The sequence below is a fragment of the Homo sapiens genome, chromosome 5 (assembly GCF_000001405.40).
Source record: "Homo sapiens chromosome 5, GRCh38.p14 Primary Assembly".
Classification (NCBI taxonomy): Eukaryota; Metazoa; Chordata; class Mammalia; order Primates; family Hominidae; genus Homo; species Homo sapiens.
In genome coordinates, this window is record NC_000005.10 from 88,921,030 (window position 1) to 88,941,912 (window position 20,883).

Sequence of the window (20,883 nt, forward strand, 5' to 3'; positions counted from 1 at the left end):
TCACTATGCCATTGCCTGCAGGTAACAGAAAACACAAATCCAAATGGCCTCAATAATAAAGATATATGTTGGCTCACTTCACTGAAAGTTCAGAGATGTGGTGGAATCCAGGGTCATTTGAATCCAGTAGTTTGGGCTTCATTTTCCTTCCATTGTTTGCCCTCTCTGTGGACCAGCTTCATCAGTGGCTAATAGCAAGAAAGTTATCAAGTGAAAGGGACTTTTATAGAAGAGCTACAAAAGCTTCCCCAGAAGCTTCAAAGAAACCTCTTCTTGGATTTTATTAGCCCAAGAGATCAGGATTATACAGGCAATTACAGAAATGGTGGATGCAGTTATGTATTGGTTCAGTGAGCATTGAAGAGGGAAGGACATTCACTGCAGACTAGTTAGTGCATTTGGGAGATTAAGGGAAGAATTCCTTGAAGAGGTTCTGTCCACACTGAATCCAAGAGGATGATCAAGACAGAGGTTGGAAGGGCATTGTAGGGAGAGAGGGCATTATATGCAAAGATGCAGAAATGAGAGGGCAACGGTGCGTAAAAGCAGCTACCCTTGCTCACATTCTTTAGGTCTCAGCTACACCTTATCTGCCTTAGGTTTAACAGAGCCTTTATATGGTCTCACAGTTCCCTGTACTTATCCCAGTTTTTTTTTAAGAGATGAGAGCACAGTGATGTGATCATAGCACACTGCAGACTTGAACTCCTGGGCTCATGTGACTTATCCCATCTCACCACACTCCATTGTTACTCATTCAACTCTCTGTTCTCTACTAGACCCTGAAAGGGGTCATGTCTGTGTAATTGTCCTCTATACCTGGTGCCTGGCCCGGTGCCTGGAACATAGTAGATGATAGTAAGTGTTCATGAAATGTGTAAGTGAGTGAGTGGTTTATTATTATTTTAATAGTTGACGGCATTTGGATCTGTTCATTCCTACACTGGTAAGAATGATAGCTTTCATGGCCCTGATTAGATGTCTCATAAAATAGTCATAAAGTGTGGGCATTAAAACTGAGTCTTGTGGATTCTGGATTCTGAGAAGTTTTTGACTCTGATATGACCAAATGTTTTGAATAGAATTTTCTTTAACGTAATTATGTGTTTTCATGCAGTCTGCAATCCCAGAGCTGGAAGAGACCATAACAGTCATCAAAACTCTTATTTGTTGGATGAATCTTTGTGTCTTAAAGGACTGAGTGTTTGCTCACCACATCCTTTGAAAGATTAATCTCATATGCATAAAGCCCCAGGTTAGGTGACTTTCTGGTATTTCTTCTAGTTTTATGATTTTTGTAAATTTAAATTAAATAATTAATAGATTATTTTATCGACATTAGTCAGAAATTAACTTTATGTCTATCCTGTTATATGTGATGTACCAATATAACCAGACCCTGGGAGTTGGGACAAGATTTTGCTAGGTTCCACTACCATGCATTTTCCACTTGAAATTTTAAATTAAGCATCATATATTGAAATGAATTAATGAAAAGATATTTTTGGAGAGAGTTGTATAATAGTACCTGCTGCTCGTTATCATCAGTATTATAATTTGCAAATATAAAACATAACAAATATTGAAAGTCTAAAATGTTTAACTTGAAGAAAAAATATAATAGTGAAAGAAAGTATAATGATGTCACATGATGAAATTCAGTCAGAATTCTATTTGTGATTTTAAGTACAGAATTCTATTTGTGATTTTAAGTACCCTTTGTATCTTTTGTGATTTTAAGTACCTTTTGTGATTTTAAGTAAGTTTTGTGATTTTAAGTACCTTTTTTGATTTTAAGTACCGATTTTTGTTTAAGTACAGCATGTTTGCCTATTGGGCCTTTAAAAATCTCTAAGGCATATCTAAATATTTCCCCATAGTATATCACAAGCCCATGTTAAGCAGTCTTTCTAATCTTTTAAAATTGCTTTACCCTTACAAGTTTGAAGCTTCTTAATTGAATGTATTTCTTACAATGTCATCTAGACAGAAGAGTTATATTGATCAATACTTTATTTTTAGCTCACTTAACTTTCCTCAAGTTAAAGATTATTTTTAAAAATGTAAATCACTCTTTCATTTATTATAAATATATTATTTTCCATTTTGTACCTTACCAGTAATATGCACAAGATATTTCCCATTGGAAAACATTTTTTGAGCAATTCATGGAGGATTACACAGATTATAACCTAAGATTTCTGCTTTGTGGAAGAAATTATGGGGCAATAGAGTCTTGAGAGCTGTAATAAGAATTGCAAAAATACTCCCACTTCATTTTTTAATGTAGTATAATCATCAGGGATAGCATTTTCCTTTATATAAAGAAATGTCATATTCCTATACTAAGTTCTTTATTGTCATTAAGAATTAAATGTTTAAAGATAAGTTGTGATTATTCATTATATGTTAGAAATGGGAAGAACTTTATAATTAACTGGCATCTCAAAGAATTTTATGTTTTCCATGCAATCATCTTACATGATAGGTAGGAGGCACATTTCTTTAATTTAAGGGAACAAAGTAGATGATTGACCTCAGCCATTACAAAGTATGCGTGGTTGGGACATCCCTGGGAAGGAAATGGCAATAATATTTATGGAGAAGGTTTTTTTGAGCGTCTGCTGTTTGAAATAGAATTACGGACTGGAAAAGATCGTTAGAAAATATCTGGTCCATGTTTCTCCTTATGCAGAGAAGGGGACTTGAGCTTCATGAGGTTTAGGGACTTGCCCAGAGCTGTACATGATTAATGAGCCTGCAGAAGAGGTGGGGATACCGATTGTGTCTTCTGCTTCTCAGAGTTATGAACGTGCTTTGCACAATGTCATACTGATCTCTCGGACTCTTCAATCCTGAAGAAACTTAACCGGATGTGAAAAGCACATTCCTTTTGTGTGAATCCGTTTAAAAAGATATTCCATTTGTTTTGCAGTTTTATAACGTGCAGATTTATTGACTTCAGAAAATTAAGGAATTAGTTAAGCTCCCAAAATATTTTTAATAAATTAAATGTGTTCATAATTTAAGCAAACGAATTAGTTTAGGAAACTTATATATCTAAGTTCATCAGAAACCCATGCTCCTCTCATTAAGAAAGCAGGTTGAGACTGTTCCATCAGGCTGTGCATTGTGTTTTTCTTCTCCGAGCGCTCGGGAGATTGGCATTACTCTGCAGTAGTGTCACAGCCCGCAGTCATTTAATGCCTCTTCTTGTGAGGCCAGGATTCCACGCCCAAGTGCATTTAGTAGGTCAGTACAGTAATTTTAAATGTCTTTCTTTCAATCTTTTGCCATCTTCAATTATACCTTTCCACCCTACTATTTGTGTAATTTTCTTCTGTCTGAAGTCTCTTTACTGTTGTTCTCTATTGCACAGCATGACAAATTACCCATCAAGCCATATCTTTTCAGCCCAGAAATGCGCAATAACACGGAGTCATGGCATTATCGCATGTTGTGCACTTTATTTCCTCACAGTTCATTCAAGTGTGTCACTTTATTTTCCTGGCTTCCTTTTGTCATCATGGAGATTAACCATTTTATCCTTCCTAAACTTTAGAAACAATTAGAATTTCATTACAGTGGAAGCTGAGAGTGAATGCTTGCTCAGTACTATATAGAGTATACTTTTCATATTATCAGTGGCAAAATTAAAGTCATGAATCCTGAGTCTTTTTCAAAGGAGAGACTTTAGAGGTTATTATACAGCTGAGTAACCCTGGCTCTGGGCAAGAGAATTATTTGAGGTTGTGGTCACCAAACACATTAACCATAAGAAACCATTTAGTCTGACATCGAGTACCTGATTCTTATATTCTCCTGGGAATTATGAAACTCTCTGGGACCCATGTGTTCTGTACACAAAATCTTTTTCTTCCCTCTTAGCTTCAGCTAAATACCAATAGTATTCAATGAGATACAATAGATATTGCAAGTATGTGCTAGAAAATCAATTGGTATTGATGCTCTAATCAGCAGGGCTGCAGCTGGTATGTAGACACACCACTGGAAATGGTGATTAAGATCATATTCAAAAGCATTAAAAAAAAACTTCAAAACGTTTAGATCACTGTTCAGATAGATTGCTGTTTTGCTGGGATAGTAGATGATTTGGGAAGCCAGTGATACTACTAGATGCTGCTAGATTAATTTATAAGATTTTTAAATAACAATCTATTTTATGTGTTGAATTTATAATATATTTTAATTATATACTTATAGTTTATAGGACAGTTATTGTTGGTAAACAAACAAGCAAAAAGTTCAAAGCTCCTTTGATGCAGCCAACTTACCAGCGTGCCAGATACTGAATATAAGCGAATACACAAGAAAAGGTCAAAAAAGAAAAACAGTGTGGTGACTGTTGAGAACATGGTGAAGAGATTGAGAAGGCAGAGAGAAGAGAGAGAGAGTGACAGAGAGACTGTCGGAGGGGGGAAGAGAAAAGGAGGAAAGGAATGGTAATGAGTTTAAAATGATCAGGAGGAGAAAAGCCAGTAAGAATTATTGTATGTCAAGGATGTTTTCAGAATTTAAAGAAATAGGACAGTGAGTGTATAAGGCAGGGTTCCCTACTCATGAGCAAGTCATTAACTAAAAATACTAGCTAAAAAGTTCTTTCAGAAAAAACTAATAATGAAAAGAGGCTTGAACAAGAAAAGGTGGTTGCATTCATAAAACTATTTTCTAATCTAGATCCATTTTCCTGTCAATACCTTTAAGTTGTACTGAAAATACATCGATTGAAAGTTCAACAATTATATAGTCATTTGTCACTTAACAACAGGGTTACATTCTGAGAAATGCAGTATTAGGTATTTTGATGCTGTGCAAACATCATAAAGTGGACTTACACACACCTTGATGGTACAGCCTACTACACACCCAGGCTGTGTGGTACAGCCTGTTGCTCCTAGGCTATAAGCCTGTACAGCAAGTGACTGTACTGAGTACTGTAGGTAATTGTAACATAATGGTAAATATTTGTGTATCTAAACATATCTAAACATAGAAAAGACACAGTAAAAATACAGTATAAAAGATTTAAAAAAGGTACTTTATTTCCTTACAGTTCATACAAGTGTGCACTTTATTTTCCTGGCTTCCTTTTGTCACCACGGAGATTAACCATTTTATCCTTCCTAAACTTTAGAAACAATTAGAATTTAATTATAGTAGAAGCTGTGCTTCCACTATAATGTGCAGGGCACTTAACCATAAACAGAGCTTGCAGGACTGGAAGTTGCTCTGGGTGAGTCAGTGAGTGAGTGGTGAGTGAATGTGAAGATCTAGGTCATTACTGTACACTACTGTAGACTTTAGAAACACTGTAAACTTAAGCTACTCTACATTTATAAAAAATATTTTTCTTAATAATAAATTAACTTTAGCTTAACAGTAATTTTTTTGCTTTATAAACTTTTTATTTTTTAATTTTTGACTCTTGTGATAGACTTAGCTTAAAACAAGCACATTGTACAGCTGTGCAAAAATATTTTTCTTTATATCCTTATTCTCTACTTTTTGCCTATTAAAATTTGTATTTTTACTTTTAAAATTCTTGTGTTAAAAACTAAGACACAAACACTCACATTAGCCTAGGCTTACACAGGGTCAGGATCATCAATATCACTGTCTTTCATCTCCACATCTGTCCCACTGGAAGGTCTTCAGGGGCAGTAACACGTACAGAGCTGTCATCTCCTACGATAACAGTGCCTTCTTTTGGAATACCTCCTGATGAACCTGTCAGAGGCTGCTTTATAGTTAACTTCTTTTTTATATATAAATAGAAAGGGTACACTCTAAAATAGCAATAAAAATATAGTATAGTAAATATATAAACCAGTAACATATTCATTATCGTTATCAAGTATTATGTACTGTACATAACTGCATGTGCTAGACTTTTATATGACTGGCAGTGCAGTAGGTGTGTTTACACCAGCATCACCACAAACACGTGAGTGATGTGTTGTGCTAACATTACGATAGCTACGATATCACTAGGTGATAAGAATTTTCAGCTCCATTATAATCTTACGAGGCCACCGTTATTATGTGGCTCGTGACTGTACATAGTTTTCCATTCTTAGTATTTTTATAAGTAGGAAATACACTGGATGTTTAAAATAAATTTAGGTACAGAGAGGTCTACATGTCTTTGACACACAGCTAAGCTCTAGTCTAGAATTATCAAAACACAACTGGAAGATGAGAAAAGAACAAAACTATAGAATGTGAGTGTCTTTTAGAAACAGTGACCATCACAGAAAAGGCAGGCTATTGATATTATCCTAAGCTTAGGATTTTATGAAGGCAAGTTGCTATTGAGAGGAGCAAAAATTTGGCACTGGAAGCATTTGACAGTAGATTTTTAAACCATAAAACACAGCACACCTTACCATGTATGATTTTAAATAGCAGTCAGAGGTTTTTTTTTAAGGAAAGTGAGGAAATTCTGGGAAAGAGGAAATAGCAACAAAAATTAAAAACTGCAGAAAACTTACTAATTTTTAAACTACTTTTAAGTGTAGTTTTCTATGTGCTCTTCACAAATTACTCAAAGATGAACCAGGACAGGAATTATTAAAGTCTTTTTAATAGATGGGGAAAATAAGACTCAGTAAAAAAGAGACTTAGCTAAAGTCACATAACCTAGTGGACCAAGTAGTATTAGAACTGAGGTCTCTAGAACTCTGCTGTCCAATATGGCAGTCACTAGCCCCATGGTGCTATTGAGCACTTGAAATGTGCCTAGTTCTGAGATGTGTTGTAAGTGTAATATATGCACTAGATTTCAAATATTTAGTACAAAGAAAAAGGAATGTAAAATATCTAATAAATAGTTTTTATATTGATTACATTATATTATGGATATATTGGGTTAAGTATTACTGAAATTAGTTTCTTCTTTTTATATTTAATTTTTTTTTTTTTTGAGATGGAGTTTCACTCTTGTTACTCAAGCTGGAGTGCAATGGCGTGCTCTCAGCTCACTGCAACCTCTGCCTCCCGGGTTCAAGCGATTCTCCTGCCTCAGCCTCCCGAGTAGCCAGGATTACAGGCACGGGCCACCATTCCCAGCTAATTTTTTGTATTTTTAGTAGAAATGGGGTTTCATCATGTTAACCAGGCTGGTCTCAAACTCCTGGCCTCAGCAGATCTGCCCACCTTGGCCTCCCCAAGTGTGGGGATTACAGGCGTGAGCCACCGTGCCCGGCCTCTATTTACTTTTTAATATGGCTACTAGAAAAGTTGAAATTACTTATGTAGCTTGCATCATACTTCTATTGCTACTATAGGCACCTCATTCAGTATTTTTCCAGAAAAATGAAGAAAAAAAGGAGGGAGAACTGGTTATTATGGAGTTTGAAACAAAATATTAATCCTTCAATTAGAGTGTGTCTCAGTTTTATCTATCATTTTAAAAATTCCATTCCATAAAAAAATCTTTTAGTACCTAATATTTATAAGGGTGGTCCTAAACATTATGTTGAGCATAGCTTTGATCAGAGGGGAAAAGGATCCTAACAGAAGGAGAGAATATCTTTTCTGGGGTTCTTGACAGATATTTACTTGGAAGGAAGCATAAAAAAGAAAGATTCTCTCATTAGACTTTGAAGGATCTCTTTTAAAGGAACAATAATTAGTGTAGATGTGAAGAACCTGAGACTTTCTTGGCTGGGCTAGGATACTGGTGTCAGGCATCCAAGGGTAATTTGGCATGTGCAAGGAGGGGTCATTCATGGTCCATTATATAAGCATGTCCAAGCTAATCCCACCCACATGAAGGAGGACCTTGGCTGAGGACAGATGAATGAAACACATTAAGGAGTAGCTATATGAAAAACACAGCGCAAAGTAAGGATAAGTAGGAATGATGTTGAAAAAGTAATGAACCATGAGATCTCTATAATGGTCTTTTAATAGATGTATTGTTCAATAACACTGCTGTGCACTAGGTTAGTTTTAACTGACTACAACTGATTTCATGAGCTTTATGGCCAATGAGCATCTAGTTCTTAAAGAAAGGAATGAACCTACTGTTGTCACTTAGAACACCCTCTGCTAATTACTGCTACAGATTCGAGTCTTGAAAATATTAATATTTTTACAACAGTTTTCTAAACTTAGAGATCAACAAAGGAAAATTGAACGACTCTAGCAACTCTTCAAGGTTTGAGCCCAAGGAGTAAAACACATTTATGCGATATCTGAAATGAAATTCCACTTTGAAAATTCTAGATCTATTTGAAATCTGTCATTTTAAAATTAATCACTGTTTTCCTTTAATACAGTCTGTGTAAAGAATCCCAATTCACTTCTGAACTGTTCTCCTGCCTTCCCAGATACATGGAAATTCACTACTGTTGCTGACAAACAAAATGCCACAAGATTTGTCATACAAATCACATTATAAGAGGTTCCAAAAACTTGACAACGTTGACAGTTGTTTTCAGCAAATGGCTGCTTTACTCTGTACTGTCAATGTTGATGTCCTTGTGCACATGTAAAAGAGCAATGTGATTAAGGCAAGCTTGTCCACGCTATATCTGAGCCAAGTTTTCCGTCTCCGCGTGGCACTGAAAGATTGCTCAGCTGTTGCAGATAAGGCAGGAATAGCTAGCAGATTTCTGCCATTTAAAAAAAAAAAACATTCTCTGGGCATGCATTTCTGTAGGAATTTACCAACATCTGCTGCTGACCTAAAGTTTTCTATAGAAGTGGCGTATTTAATTTATAGAAGTAATTCACAATGGTATTGGTCAAGACTGATTTCCTTAGGAAATAATGAATTGCATTCACCAGGAAAAGATGGGTTGAAATTTAATAACATTTATAGTCTCTAAATTGTTATTGGAGCTTCAGGCATCATACTTGTTTGGACTATCCTAAATTTATTTTCTGCATGTTCTCTAAATTATATTTCAGCAGAGAAACTTTTTAGAAAAAAGAATAAAGAGCTAAGAGATTTTGATGATTCCACAGAAGGCCTACACTTCACACTTATCTTTTTTTTTATAGGCTCTTTGAAAAATGTTTGATTTTTGGAAGCTAATTTATTCTGGAAGAATTTTGTAGTTAAATTTCAGTGTGATTTAAAATTGTCATATGTGCTATTCTCAAAAGAACATACAAGATTTAGGTATTTCCTATAGTCAAGGTAACTTTTGGTAACCTCGGATTCCTTTTTTTTTTTTGGACATCTGTTTATTTACCATCTTAATGACCATTTTTCATTTTAGAAATTTGTCCTCTGTCTATATCAGTTTTTAATTGTTTCTTTTGAAATATGATGCTCTTCAGGTAAAAATACAAAACTTAAGCTAGTTCTGGCAATTCAAACCAGCCTCGTGGTAATGCATTTGTTATTTGATTCATCTATTCTTATTCTTGGTCACCTTCTAGTACAGCTGCATGCATTAAGTGTCTGACTTGTCTTTGAAAATCTTAAGCCACATTCTTTGGAACAGTTGCTTCAAGTTGGTTGAAATTCTCTGTGGCACTTTTTTCCATTCACAGGAGCCAACAGCCACCATAGCAGACACATAGTTTCCAAGAACTTAGGCATGGTTCATGATTCCTGAATCTCAACAATTTCTTGTAGGAATTGGAATGCCATGTAAGGTGTCAGAAGCCTTTGTGCTTTAAATTATAATTTTAAAAGTATACATTTATACTGTAAAGTTAATTTGGCTTATGTAATTTCAAAATATTTTCATTTTTGTAACTAGCAGAAGAACACAATTTGAAAACCTACTAATAAAAAAATTAATCCAATGTCCATGAGCATGTAATTATCTTAAAATATTAGATAAAAAATTCTTTTAGGAAAAGTTCAGAATGAAAAGAGAGTTGAACTAGAAAAGGTGGTTGCTTTTATAAAACAACTCTTTATTGTCTAATCTAGATTCACATTTTCCTGTGAACACCTTTATGTTGTACTAAAAATACTGCAATTGAATGTTCAAATTTTAAGTCTCAAATTACTGCCTTTCAGATCCATTGAGGCATCTAAAAAATGGGTCAAGGTAACAACGCATAATTTGAAAAGTTAGCAAAAAGTTGCTAGTATAAAAAATGAAAATCTATATAATTGTGATAACCTTTAACTCCTGTCTTATTAACATCGTTCCATTTAACATTTTGGGAAACAAAAATTCTTGTGAAACATTTGCCACAGCTAGCTTCTTTATTTTTACATAGCCAAGGGAGAAAAAAGGAGAAATTTCCCATAGAGTGTTTAGACCCTCTTATTAAGCAACTGATTAAAAAAAATAAGTGGTTTATAAAAAAAGAGTCAGAGTAAATACAGAAAATCAAAATGTATATCAATGGATAAGAGCATGCAGACAGGAGAAACATGGATATGCTTTGATTTTTAGCTGCCAGTTTTCATTTTCACAAATTTTTATTTTGTAAACTTTCCTTAGGGTTATATTGATAATGACATTTTGCTCTTGATAACAGCTTATAGACTGGAAATAAGATAATAATGTACCACTTAGGACATTTGTGAAGTTCTGGTCTTAGCCCTATTTTTAATTTTAATTTTGTTTTTAATTCCAAAAGTTTGTAATCTGTCTAGAGCTCAGATCTTCTCACTACCAATATCTTCCCAAGGTTTTGGTTTAATCAGTTGATAGACAAAGGCAAAGAGTGTGGGGAAAATAAAACCACTATTTGGTTATACAGTTTAAAAAGAAATTTCTTTTCTTGAGTATACCTAATAATCATGTTTTCTAATAAACATTTTGAGTTTACCTCCTGACACAATAGTTTTCAAGAAGTGAGGATAAGTTGTTCTTCGTGGACTCCCAGGAAATATCAGAAATATATTATGTAACTATTAGTTTGGTACAAACATAATTGCTATTTTTGCCATTACTTTCCATGGTAAAAACTGCAATTACGTTTGCACCAACCTAATAGCTCAAATAAATGTACTTCTCTTTATCCTATTATTCTGCAAAATGGTAAAACTCCAATTTGCAAGGTGACTGGATTTACTGGAGAGTGTGAAGGCTTCTCATTTGCTTTTGAACTTTCTCATGATACTGAGAATTTCCTGAGACAAAAGTGATGTTATCAATCATACAAAAAATACTTATATGAAAGTTTTATTGTATATTCCTGGGATGTGCAAGATGAAATCTCTTTTACTGAATATTTCTAGAGTTGGGAAATATTTTACTGGTTGGTTGGTTTCTATATCAATTGGCTATGCTGCAAAGTACTAGTCGGGTTATGGCAATGAAATCAGGTTTAAAATAAATAATCTGTGGACAGGAGAGTCTTTCTCTCCAGTGACCGAATCTCCTAGAATAAGTTCAGGGCCATTCTGCTCTGACTGCATTTTTGGGAAATGGTAATGTGTAAGGACTTGTACAAGAAGTGCAGGTAGAAAGTAAGTACAACAGAAGATTGAAAAATTGAATATTTTATTCTCTTGAAAGGTTATCAGTTATGATTAAGAAGCTACAAGGGCCTGATGTCACCTACAGGATAAAGTCTAGATTTCTCAATGTGGAGCATAAAGACTTCTTGCACTGCCTACTTTTCAGACTCTTCCATACTATTTCTTCATAGCTGTACCAAGTTATGAATTACCACCTACTAATCATGTTATGACCATAGCTGGAATGTCCTCCGTCAGAAAATCATCTCAGTTTTATCTGCCTTAGAAACATGTACTAAATCTTTCAAGATAGGGTTCAAATGACATATCTTTGATGAAATACTCCCTGAACATCCAAGGACATTAGTAGATCTTTCACTTTATCCCTGTTTTTGGCATTTATGCATACTGTGTTATACTGTGTAGTATTTAAAGATATGCTTATCTTCCAAGCTAGACTGTGAGCCTTTTGAGTATAGGGATTATATCGAATCCATTTGTGTATTCCTTGGACCTTGCATAGTGCCTGGTTTATGATAGGGTGCTATGTAAATGTTTGTTAAAGGAGATGTAACTTTGTAGAATATCTGTGCTCCAGCTTCAATCATTATGGAGAGTCCACCTGTCATCAGAATCTCTCGTATCAGGCATGTTGAGAAATCTATTTACAAATGAAATGCTCTTCATGCATATCATTGACATTCAATAGCCCTTACAAGGTTCATTTACCTTAAATGATGCATTTATCTTCTTGTGCAGTTTAGTTTGTGGGGCTAGAATCATTGCTTTTAGCATCACACTTCATATAGAAAAGCTAATTTGGGTACATTGCAATTTATAAAGAAGTAGCAGAACCATATGCCCACCATTTTTATTTAAAAGTATTCCATGCAATTCAGAACTAAAGTTTGTAGAGAAAAAAATTATCAACAAAGCCTAAAATACTAATACCTCATATAAGAAGTGGTCAATTTCAAACATGACACTATAGCTAGGAATCAAGAAATAATGAGAATAGCCTAAAAATGCAAAGGAAAAATAGTTCACAATATCAATAATGGTAAAAGAGCCCTTTATTCTTCTACCTGGACAGAGCCTATTCTTATCCTACCTGTAGTTCTAACAGGCTTTTTTTTGTTTGTTTCTATGTTTTTAGAAGATTAAAGGGGCAAATTACTCAAATTTGCAATCACAGATTACAGATTCAGGCAAATGAAAGAAACAAGACATGATAGCTGATAATATAACTTTGGAAAGTCCAAGAAAATACTATTAAAAATAGATCAAAAGGCTTAGACTGTGGGATTATTTCAGTATAGTTCTACCTAGTCTGGCCTTACCTCCAAATTCTTTCAGACATTTCTTGCCTCTTTCTGTACCCCATCAGACCATTTGTCTGAAGAGAAACCCTTTTGTCTCTCTTCTCTCAAGATTCTTTTCCTGGAATCTGTTCTGTTAAATACATACCATCCTATTTCTCAAACTCTTAGTGTGACCTTTAGAGGTGAGTATACATGAAGATCCAAACACAGGGTAAAAATATGAATTTAGCATTTGGGGACATCGCTAATATCTCCCCGCACACATACACACACATACATTATACATATATATAAAAACTCCTGCTTCTGAATCCCTGGAGCTCTCACTAGTTCACCGTGGAGCTCCCAGACAAGCCCAGTCTTCACCTGCAATGTAGGCACCTCCAATACTTGCCCTGCCAGGCCACTGGGTGTGCCAGGTCTCAGGGCATAGTCATTCCTATCTGGCATCTTCCACTGCTGACAAATTCTGACAACCTGACTATGGAAATTTGAGGTAATAACTTTTAGAAACTCTGGATTTTGTAGCTGGATTATTGGAAATCTTCAAAGAAATTCCCAGACTGACAATGGCTTTGGAAGCTCGAGGAACAGGAAAGATTACCGCAAAAGCTGTAGAATTTTCATAGAAGCATTGTCCTTTAGGCCATGAACTGCAATGGAGACAATTTCCCTTACCCAATGAATGATTCTCCCCTAAAATGCCATATTGTGACTTTCTTTACTTTTGTCACTGGTTGTCATTACCTTCCACAGACAAAATTCTTCAGGGTTGAGCGTGTGTCTCTGTACTGCTCTGCTATCCAAGATAAGAGTATGTCTGGGGCTCCTGCGGCTTTAGTGTGTATAGCATTGCTTTCCTGACTATGAATTTTGAACTACTAGTGTTACCGCTTTCCACTTTGTGATAATTTATTACTCTATTCCATGCTTGTGTTTTAGATCAAGCTCTTATGGTACAATTCAGGCACTTTTATGTGCATTCCTTCTTGCTTAGATAAAATTACAACACATGGCTTCATAAGTAAGATGTGTAGGTTCATGAGGGAAGGCCTGCTTCCCACCATCTCTCTCCTCCATCTCAGTGAATTGGGTAACTGACAAAACTCTGCCATTCATCTTGGTGGCAAACATCATCTCCAAGATCCAGTAATTTCCACTGCCAGGGCTATCGCAACTATGCTGACTATATGGCCATCACTGAGGACCAATTTAAAGCCCTTTGAGAATTAAACATTATTTTCATTATTTGTCAACTGTTTGAAATTATTCTTTTTGCTCTTTGGAGTCTTCAGAGCTTGTAGTCTTCAATGAAAATATCTAAATAATACCTAAATGTTATGATTTCTCCAGCTCTTATTTTATTCCATGAAAATAGGTGATTTTATCACCAATGAGCTCTAAAGTTTCTTTCAGTTCCTCTGATTCTTTATTTTATATTGTTTTTTGTTTAAAACAAGTCTCAGGATGTTTGGTTCTGCTTCTCATTTGAGCAGTGGTGCCAAAGGGATAGCTTATCTCTCTGAGGTCATCAGTTTGGTTGCAGTCTTTATGGGGGGAGCTGATCCCACCAAGATAACCATTTGGTAATTTTTTTTTTTTGGCCTGAGTCTAAGATTTAATTATTTTTGGCTGAGCATATGGCATTGTACATAGATTTTCTTGGCTTTCTTTTTATTGTATTTCTAGATTTTTTACAGACAATGGGAAGCACTGACACCTTTAAGAGGGATGTGTAATACACTCGCTAATGTTTCCTGTTGTGTTTCTGAAAACCTGTGTCAGAAAATATACTGTCTCGAACTGGAAAGATGTGAGATTCTTAATTTTAAAGAGCTCCATTAATATTGGTAGGTATTTTTTTCATGTTAGAGTAACTCAAAATTTCTCTAATGCATGTGACATCTAATATACATTCAGAAAAATGAAAAATCAGTATTTAAGATGTATTTTTGGAAAAAGTTTTTGAAAATAACTCAGCAAAAATGGATTAACTTTATAAAAAATCATTCATTTCACTGGCATGAAGTAAAATGTGTCATAAATAATAGGTACTCTGTTATATCTTTTTATTGATTTAAATAAAAAGGATATAGTTTGAGGAATCAATCCACCAAATAGGTACCTCATACATAGAAATTATGGAACTTGCATCTCTTAAAAATGTAATAGAGTAGAATGGAAAAGAAAAAGAAACTTAACAAATGAATATATTGTGTAAAATTACTGGTAAGACTGGTAAATTCTAATTAATAAAATCTTCACAATGATTTTTCAACAAATGAACATTTACTAAATACCTGTAAAATTGGGGTAGCCAGTATGACTTCTTAAATATTAAAGATCAACTGGCAAAGATATGAGAAAATGTGGGTGCTTTTTTTAATAATATGTATGCTTTAAATAAGTGCACAGAATCAGGCTTGCTATTTTGCAGAGTTAATAGTTTTGTAGGAAAAAACAGTCACAAGAAATGCCCATTGAGGCAAATATTAAAACTCTTAACTGAAATTAAAAATGTTTTTAAGACAAACTCCTTTCTGTGCATCTGCAGCTTTAACTCTTTGGTGAAAGTCAATTATGTGCAAGCATTAACTTTAAAGAAAACTTCTTCAGAGTGTCTGGTGCATAAAGTGAAGTAAAGCTGCATGTTTTCCAGTCTGATGGCAGTAATGCAGGTCCTCTAGAAAGAAAGCAACGAACAAGTTTTCAAGTTTGCCTGCAGTGGCTGAGATGACTCACTCATGTCACAGGGGATAATTTCACTGCAACCATTGAGAATTTTGTTATTTTCTTTCTGGGAGAAGGAATAGATGGGTTTATTTTAAGTACGGGGGCAAAGGGATTGTTAGTGGGAATTCTACACAAAACTACACAAGATGTGAGCTGGACAAGAATCATTCATATCTTAAGATAAGTTACTTCAAAATATGAGTATAATTACTCCTAAAATGTCACTTTGAGTTGCTTTATTTTTTATTTTTATTTTTTGCTTAGCTTTTTTTTTTTTCTTTGAAGGTAAAGGAAACACTTAAAATAATGACTGGGGTTACTGGTATTTATACGCCAAGAGTTGTCCTACAATGCCTCTCTTCATCTTCAAATAAACAGATGACCATATGTAAAATAACCATTATATAGTCTGAGTATTTTAAATCTGGCTTTTATGTTTGAAATGCATCTAATATCACCTACAAAGATCAGCGCTGCTATCCTCAAGCTCCTGCTTTGCTTGAGAGTCCACAAAAGACACAGAAAACTAGGCTGCATCCTGTGCACCTGCCTTCCTGTCAAGAAACTTACCTCAGGCTAATGCATGCAGAGGGACAGGTCAGATTGTGTGAAGGTTCTATGCAAACTGCCCAAGATCACTTGGGGCCCCACTGGCATCACTGAAAGGCATTGCTGGGTTTACGGTCTCCTGAATAGCTCCAACCTGTTGTTGAGAGTCAAGCCACGATGTAGAAAGAATCGCTGCACTTTCCCAGGGCTGCTCCGCAGTGTGAGTGGCCACTAGCTCTCTTTTCCTATGACCCCAGTGCTGTTTGGGTTTGCTCTCCAGAAGAACAGGTAGATACATTTGCAGCTGGCGGGGGCACTGCTTTATTGCCTATTGTGGAATGCGTGCCAAATAAAAACCATCGTGATTTGAAATCGGCAATCTTATATGCTTTTCAGGTTACTCGGATGTTCAAACACACGTAACCAACCATCAATATGAGAAATTCTCCTTTAAGCTGTTAGTGTATTACAGCCTGTGACTTTTCAACTCGGGGAATGATACTCATTTCTCTATCTGTTCCATACAGAACAACTTTTTCTTTATTGCATTTAGAATGGTGTAACTGAAAGGCAATAAGGAAAGGCAATATCATTGAGTGGTTCACATTACGCTGAATTTTATTGTAGTCTGGCATTGTGAGTGAACTTTTGGAATCCTTGAAAGCAGCATAAAGGCAGAGCCTGCTTCTAATGGACTGAAGAAAAATATTCTGACATAATGATAAGTGGGGTGACTTCTAGAAATCATGACTTGAAACATTTCTGAACAAATGCTATTTCAGTTGTCCCAATGCACAGAGTGATATTGAAACAGCCTGCTATAGGCCAGAACCACTAATTTTTTTCCCTAAGGGCAGAACTTCATTTTTAAAGATATAGAATGATCCACAACTCTAAATTCCAGCTAAAATTTCTTTTCTTCCATTCTCCTCCAATTATTCTCCCAAGCTATTACATCAGAGGTATTAGAATTTAGGTGCTATGATCATATTTACTTTAATATGTTTATTTTCCAATTGTAAAATGGACACATAAGAGATTTTTATAATTATCAAATGGCTAATTTTTAAACAATAAGTCTTTTTATTGTCTTCATTCTCTGCTTTTGAAATATATGGAGTTGCATATTCTTAAGTTTTGAATTGTTTTAGAGAACTAGTATAGATGTATTTTTCACCTCCTATGAGAATTTCAGGAGCAGTAATAAAGGGCAAACCAACACAGGGACATCTCCCTGCATATTATGGTTCAAATCAGAAACGAACACTTTTTAAATATGACTGAGAGTCACAGATTTTTACAGGATGTCAGGAAAACAACTTCCCCCTTTATTAATACAAACAGAAACTATTTTTTCCTCTTTCCTCCCCTCTCTACCACTGTCATGTTCCTGTTCTACACTTTTCCCCAACTAACCTCTTCTGTTGTTGTGCCTGGCACATAGTAGGTGCAGAGTAAATATTTGTGTGTGTGAATGAATGAAGGAAGGACGTTCAGGATACAAGAACTTCTTGGTTCACTTGAGTCAGCTGGCTGTTAGTAGTGTGTTCAGTGTATAAACTGGATACGTTGTTGACAACTTTTTTTGCTCTTTGTGTGCATAAGCTAAGAATAAACAGCACTGAAGGGAAGGGAGTGCTTCATTCATCAGGGGATTACACCATCATAAACTTACCAAAGTGTACCACACAGAGCCAGTGATCACAGAAGACAGGCAACCCAGGCCCTGTCATTAAATATAGAAGCCTGTCTTCACTGTTTTTATCCAGACAGACTCTCTGTGTTTTGGAAATTTCCACCACACTTCCTTTTGAGTTGCTCGTTTTCTCAAGATCCCAAGACTATTGCTTTACAAAAGTAGACTTGGTCTGGGAATCGTAAAACGAAGGCTATACATTTCCTCATCCCCCGAAGAATATTCAGTGTTTCTTGCTGACTTTTATGTCCCTGTCTTTCATTTTGTTTTTGTTTTTTGGTTGAGATTTTTTGAGTCTGTCTTCTATGAAAGGTGGTTTCTTCTAAGTGAAAGTACTTAATAATAAGAGAGTGCTCAGTTTGCAGTCAAGACTGCAAGGTGACTAGACACTGACATTCTGTTGTGAGAGTTGAGCTCCATGACTAAACAGCTCCTCTTTCTCTAGACCAAATAAAAGTCTTATCATCTCATGTATGTATCTTTAATCGGACACCAATCATACATGGAACATTAGGGAGAATAGGTAAAGTTATCTTTGGTTTGCCAGAAGTGTTTCACACTCAAAGGCTCAATACTTTCACCTGTGAATCATTTTGTGTGTGTATGTGAGAGGTAGGAATAATCAGGTGACATCTTTGTTTTGGGTTATTTAAAGGATACACCATTTAATCTTTCATACAGTACTGAAAATATTCGTAACAGTTTTCTAGTTTAAAGATACTTTAATATTTAATGTAGTATTTTAATTACATTTTTAAAAATATGTTTTAAAAAGAAAATGTTTAAAAATATTTTTAAAATTTTATTCGATAGCTTTTAATATTACTAATAATGTACTAAAATAAGAAAATGGGTGAGAATGATGGTGAAGCCATAGCAAAGGCAGAGACATGTCCTTTCTGCAAAAGTGACAACAGGGTAAGCAGGCTATGAGGACTCAGCCCTCTGAACAATCTTTGCATCCCTGAATGATCTCTAATGTTCATTAGGCTTGTGTTACAGATGCTTGTTTTCCTCTCTTTCCTGTAAGGCCTTGCAGTAATTTAAAGTAACCAGAATATGTTTCCATTCCTTGTTACCTGAAAAAGTCAAACATACTCATGTTATACAGGTAAAATGGAATGGTACATTATGTGAAAATTATTTGTAAACTGTCAAATTATGTTCAAATATGAGGTAAGATCTGAGAAGCTTAGGATATAAGTTAGTCTCAAAACTTAAATGCTTTTCAAGGGAAAATTTATTTGGTGATTAACTAGAATTTTAGTTGCAATATGTAATCCTTGACTTTTTGAAGTAGCCTAGAGGTGGTCAGGACTTGTAGATTACAATAGTCCTTTACTTACTTGAATATTGATCTGGTAGTACTGAATACTGAATACTGACAATTTAAACTCTTTGGCAGAAAGTGCTCTTATAAAACTTCTAGAAAATTTATTATTTTAAAAATTTTTATTATGTATTTATTGTGCACAACATGATGGGTGTGTTTGTTTGTTTGTTTGTTTTGAGACGGAGTCTTGCTCTGTCACCCAGGCTGAAGTGCAGTGGTGCCATCTCAGCTCACTGCAACCTCCACCACCTGGGTTCAAGCAATTCTCTGCCTCAGCCTCCCGAGTAGCTGGGATTACAGGTGCCTGCCACCACGTCAGGCTAATTTTTGTATTTTTAGTAGAGACGGAGTTTCACCATCTTGCCCAGGCTGGTCTTGAACTCTTTACCTTGTGATCCACCCGCCTCAGCCTCCCAAAGTGCTGGGATTACAGGCATGAGCCACCGTGCCCAGCCCACAACATGATGTTTTGAAGTATACATACACTGTGGGATAGTTAAGTCTAGCTAATTAACAAATGTGTTACCTCACATAGTTATCATTTTTGTACTGAGAACACTTAACATTCACCATCTTCTCATTTTTAAATAATGTAATCTATCGTCATTAACTATAGTCACCATGCTGTACAATAGATCTCTTGAACTTATTTCTCCTATCTAATTGTAATTATATATCCTTTCATCCACAGTCATATTGATGATTATTTAGCATAAATTGTTAACAAAGATCTTTTTCTATTTTAGAACAGATTGGAAGAATGCGAAATGTTATTAGACACAGGCACAGCATAGCAGTAGAAACATCTTAACTGAGAACTTGGAACTGAAAGAGAAAGCAACCAACTTAAAGGGCAGACAAGACACATGGTTATGTAACACAGCAGTGGGTATTCACAGTGATGACACAAGACAAAACAATTACATTTTCATTCTAAAAGTAATTTTTAAGGAGGCAAGGGCATTTATAAAACATTTTAGAAACTATTTAATAAAAATGGTAAAATTAAAGTGTTTGTTTATGTACTCAACAAATATTTATTTGGAAAGTGCATGCCTGGGGGCACATCTCGTTAATGAGGTGATCCTGTGTTTAGAACTGAAGGCAGTCCTCATCCATTCTCTCAAAAGGTGACCTTCTTTGTTCTTCTTATAGCCTCACCACATTTAATTTTCAGAGGTTTTGACATAAATTAAAAACATTCTTTGGTAGATTGTATTGTATGAAAACAATCTTCAAAAGTGTAAGCATTGATATCTGGAATATCTGGGAAAATGTACAATAAAGACATCTCTTCTGGTCTTCCTCTGATGGTAATGTGTTCACTATTATACTGATGATGTAAGCTATGTATGTAAACCTATGCAGGTAAAATTCTGCTAAAGCCAATCCCACTACAAAACAACAACAACAACAAACCCCAAGTGGCATCTGAAGAGCTTGGGAATTCCAGGAATGTGATAAAAATGTTTTTAATAATACACGGAAAAATAATTTAGTGTGTAAATAATATTTTATAGTAAATGCTTCATTTTATTCCTTCCATATAACAACTGTCTTCTGTAATGAAAATACTTACTTGTTTGTTTAGTGTCTAAAGGTTGAGAAGGGAACTAGAATTGGCCTAAGGAGGCCCTCAGCCACCCATCATGTGACAGTATGGCCAGGAGGACTTACTCTCTGCTCTCCTCCTCTTGACATGCCTCAAACACACCAATCATTTGCACTTGGGAAATCAACCCTCACTAGCAAATTACTCCTGCCAACAAAATAACCCAATCAGCATGCAAAACTGGTAGCGAGCTGGGAGAGGGCGATGAGAGTGGTGTTCACATGGCTCCCTCTG

At 35.3% G+C, this 20,883-nt stretch overlaps 1 long non-coding RNA gene across 9 annotated transcripts in view; it reads left to right on the forward strand.

Moving 5' to 3' along the window:
• The window catches only part of MEF2C-AS1 (MEF2C antisense RNA 1), a 584,252-nt gene that overhangs the window by 37,700 nt on the left and 525,669 nt on the right, over positions 1-20,883 (forward strand). The window contains exon 4 of one of the 9 annotated variants that reach the window (NR_109940.1): positions 19,784-20,341. The exons of the other annotated variants lie outside the window; for them this stretch is intronic. This is a non-coding gene — a long non-coding RNA (MEF2C antisense RNA 1). Of the gene's footprint in view, positions 1-19,783; positions 20,342-20,883 lie in introns of those variants that run through there. 9 annotated transcript variants of the gene reach the window in all.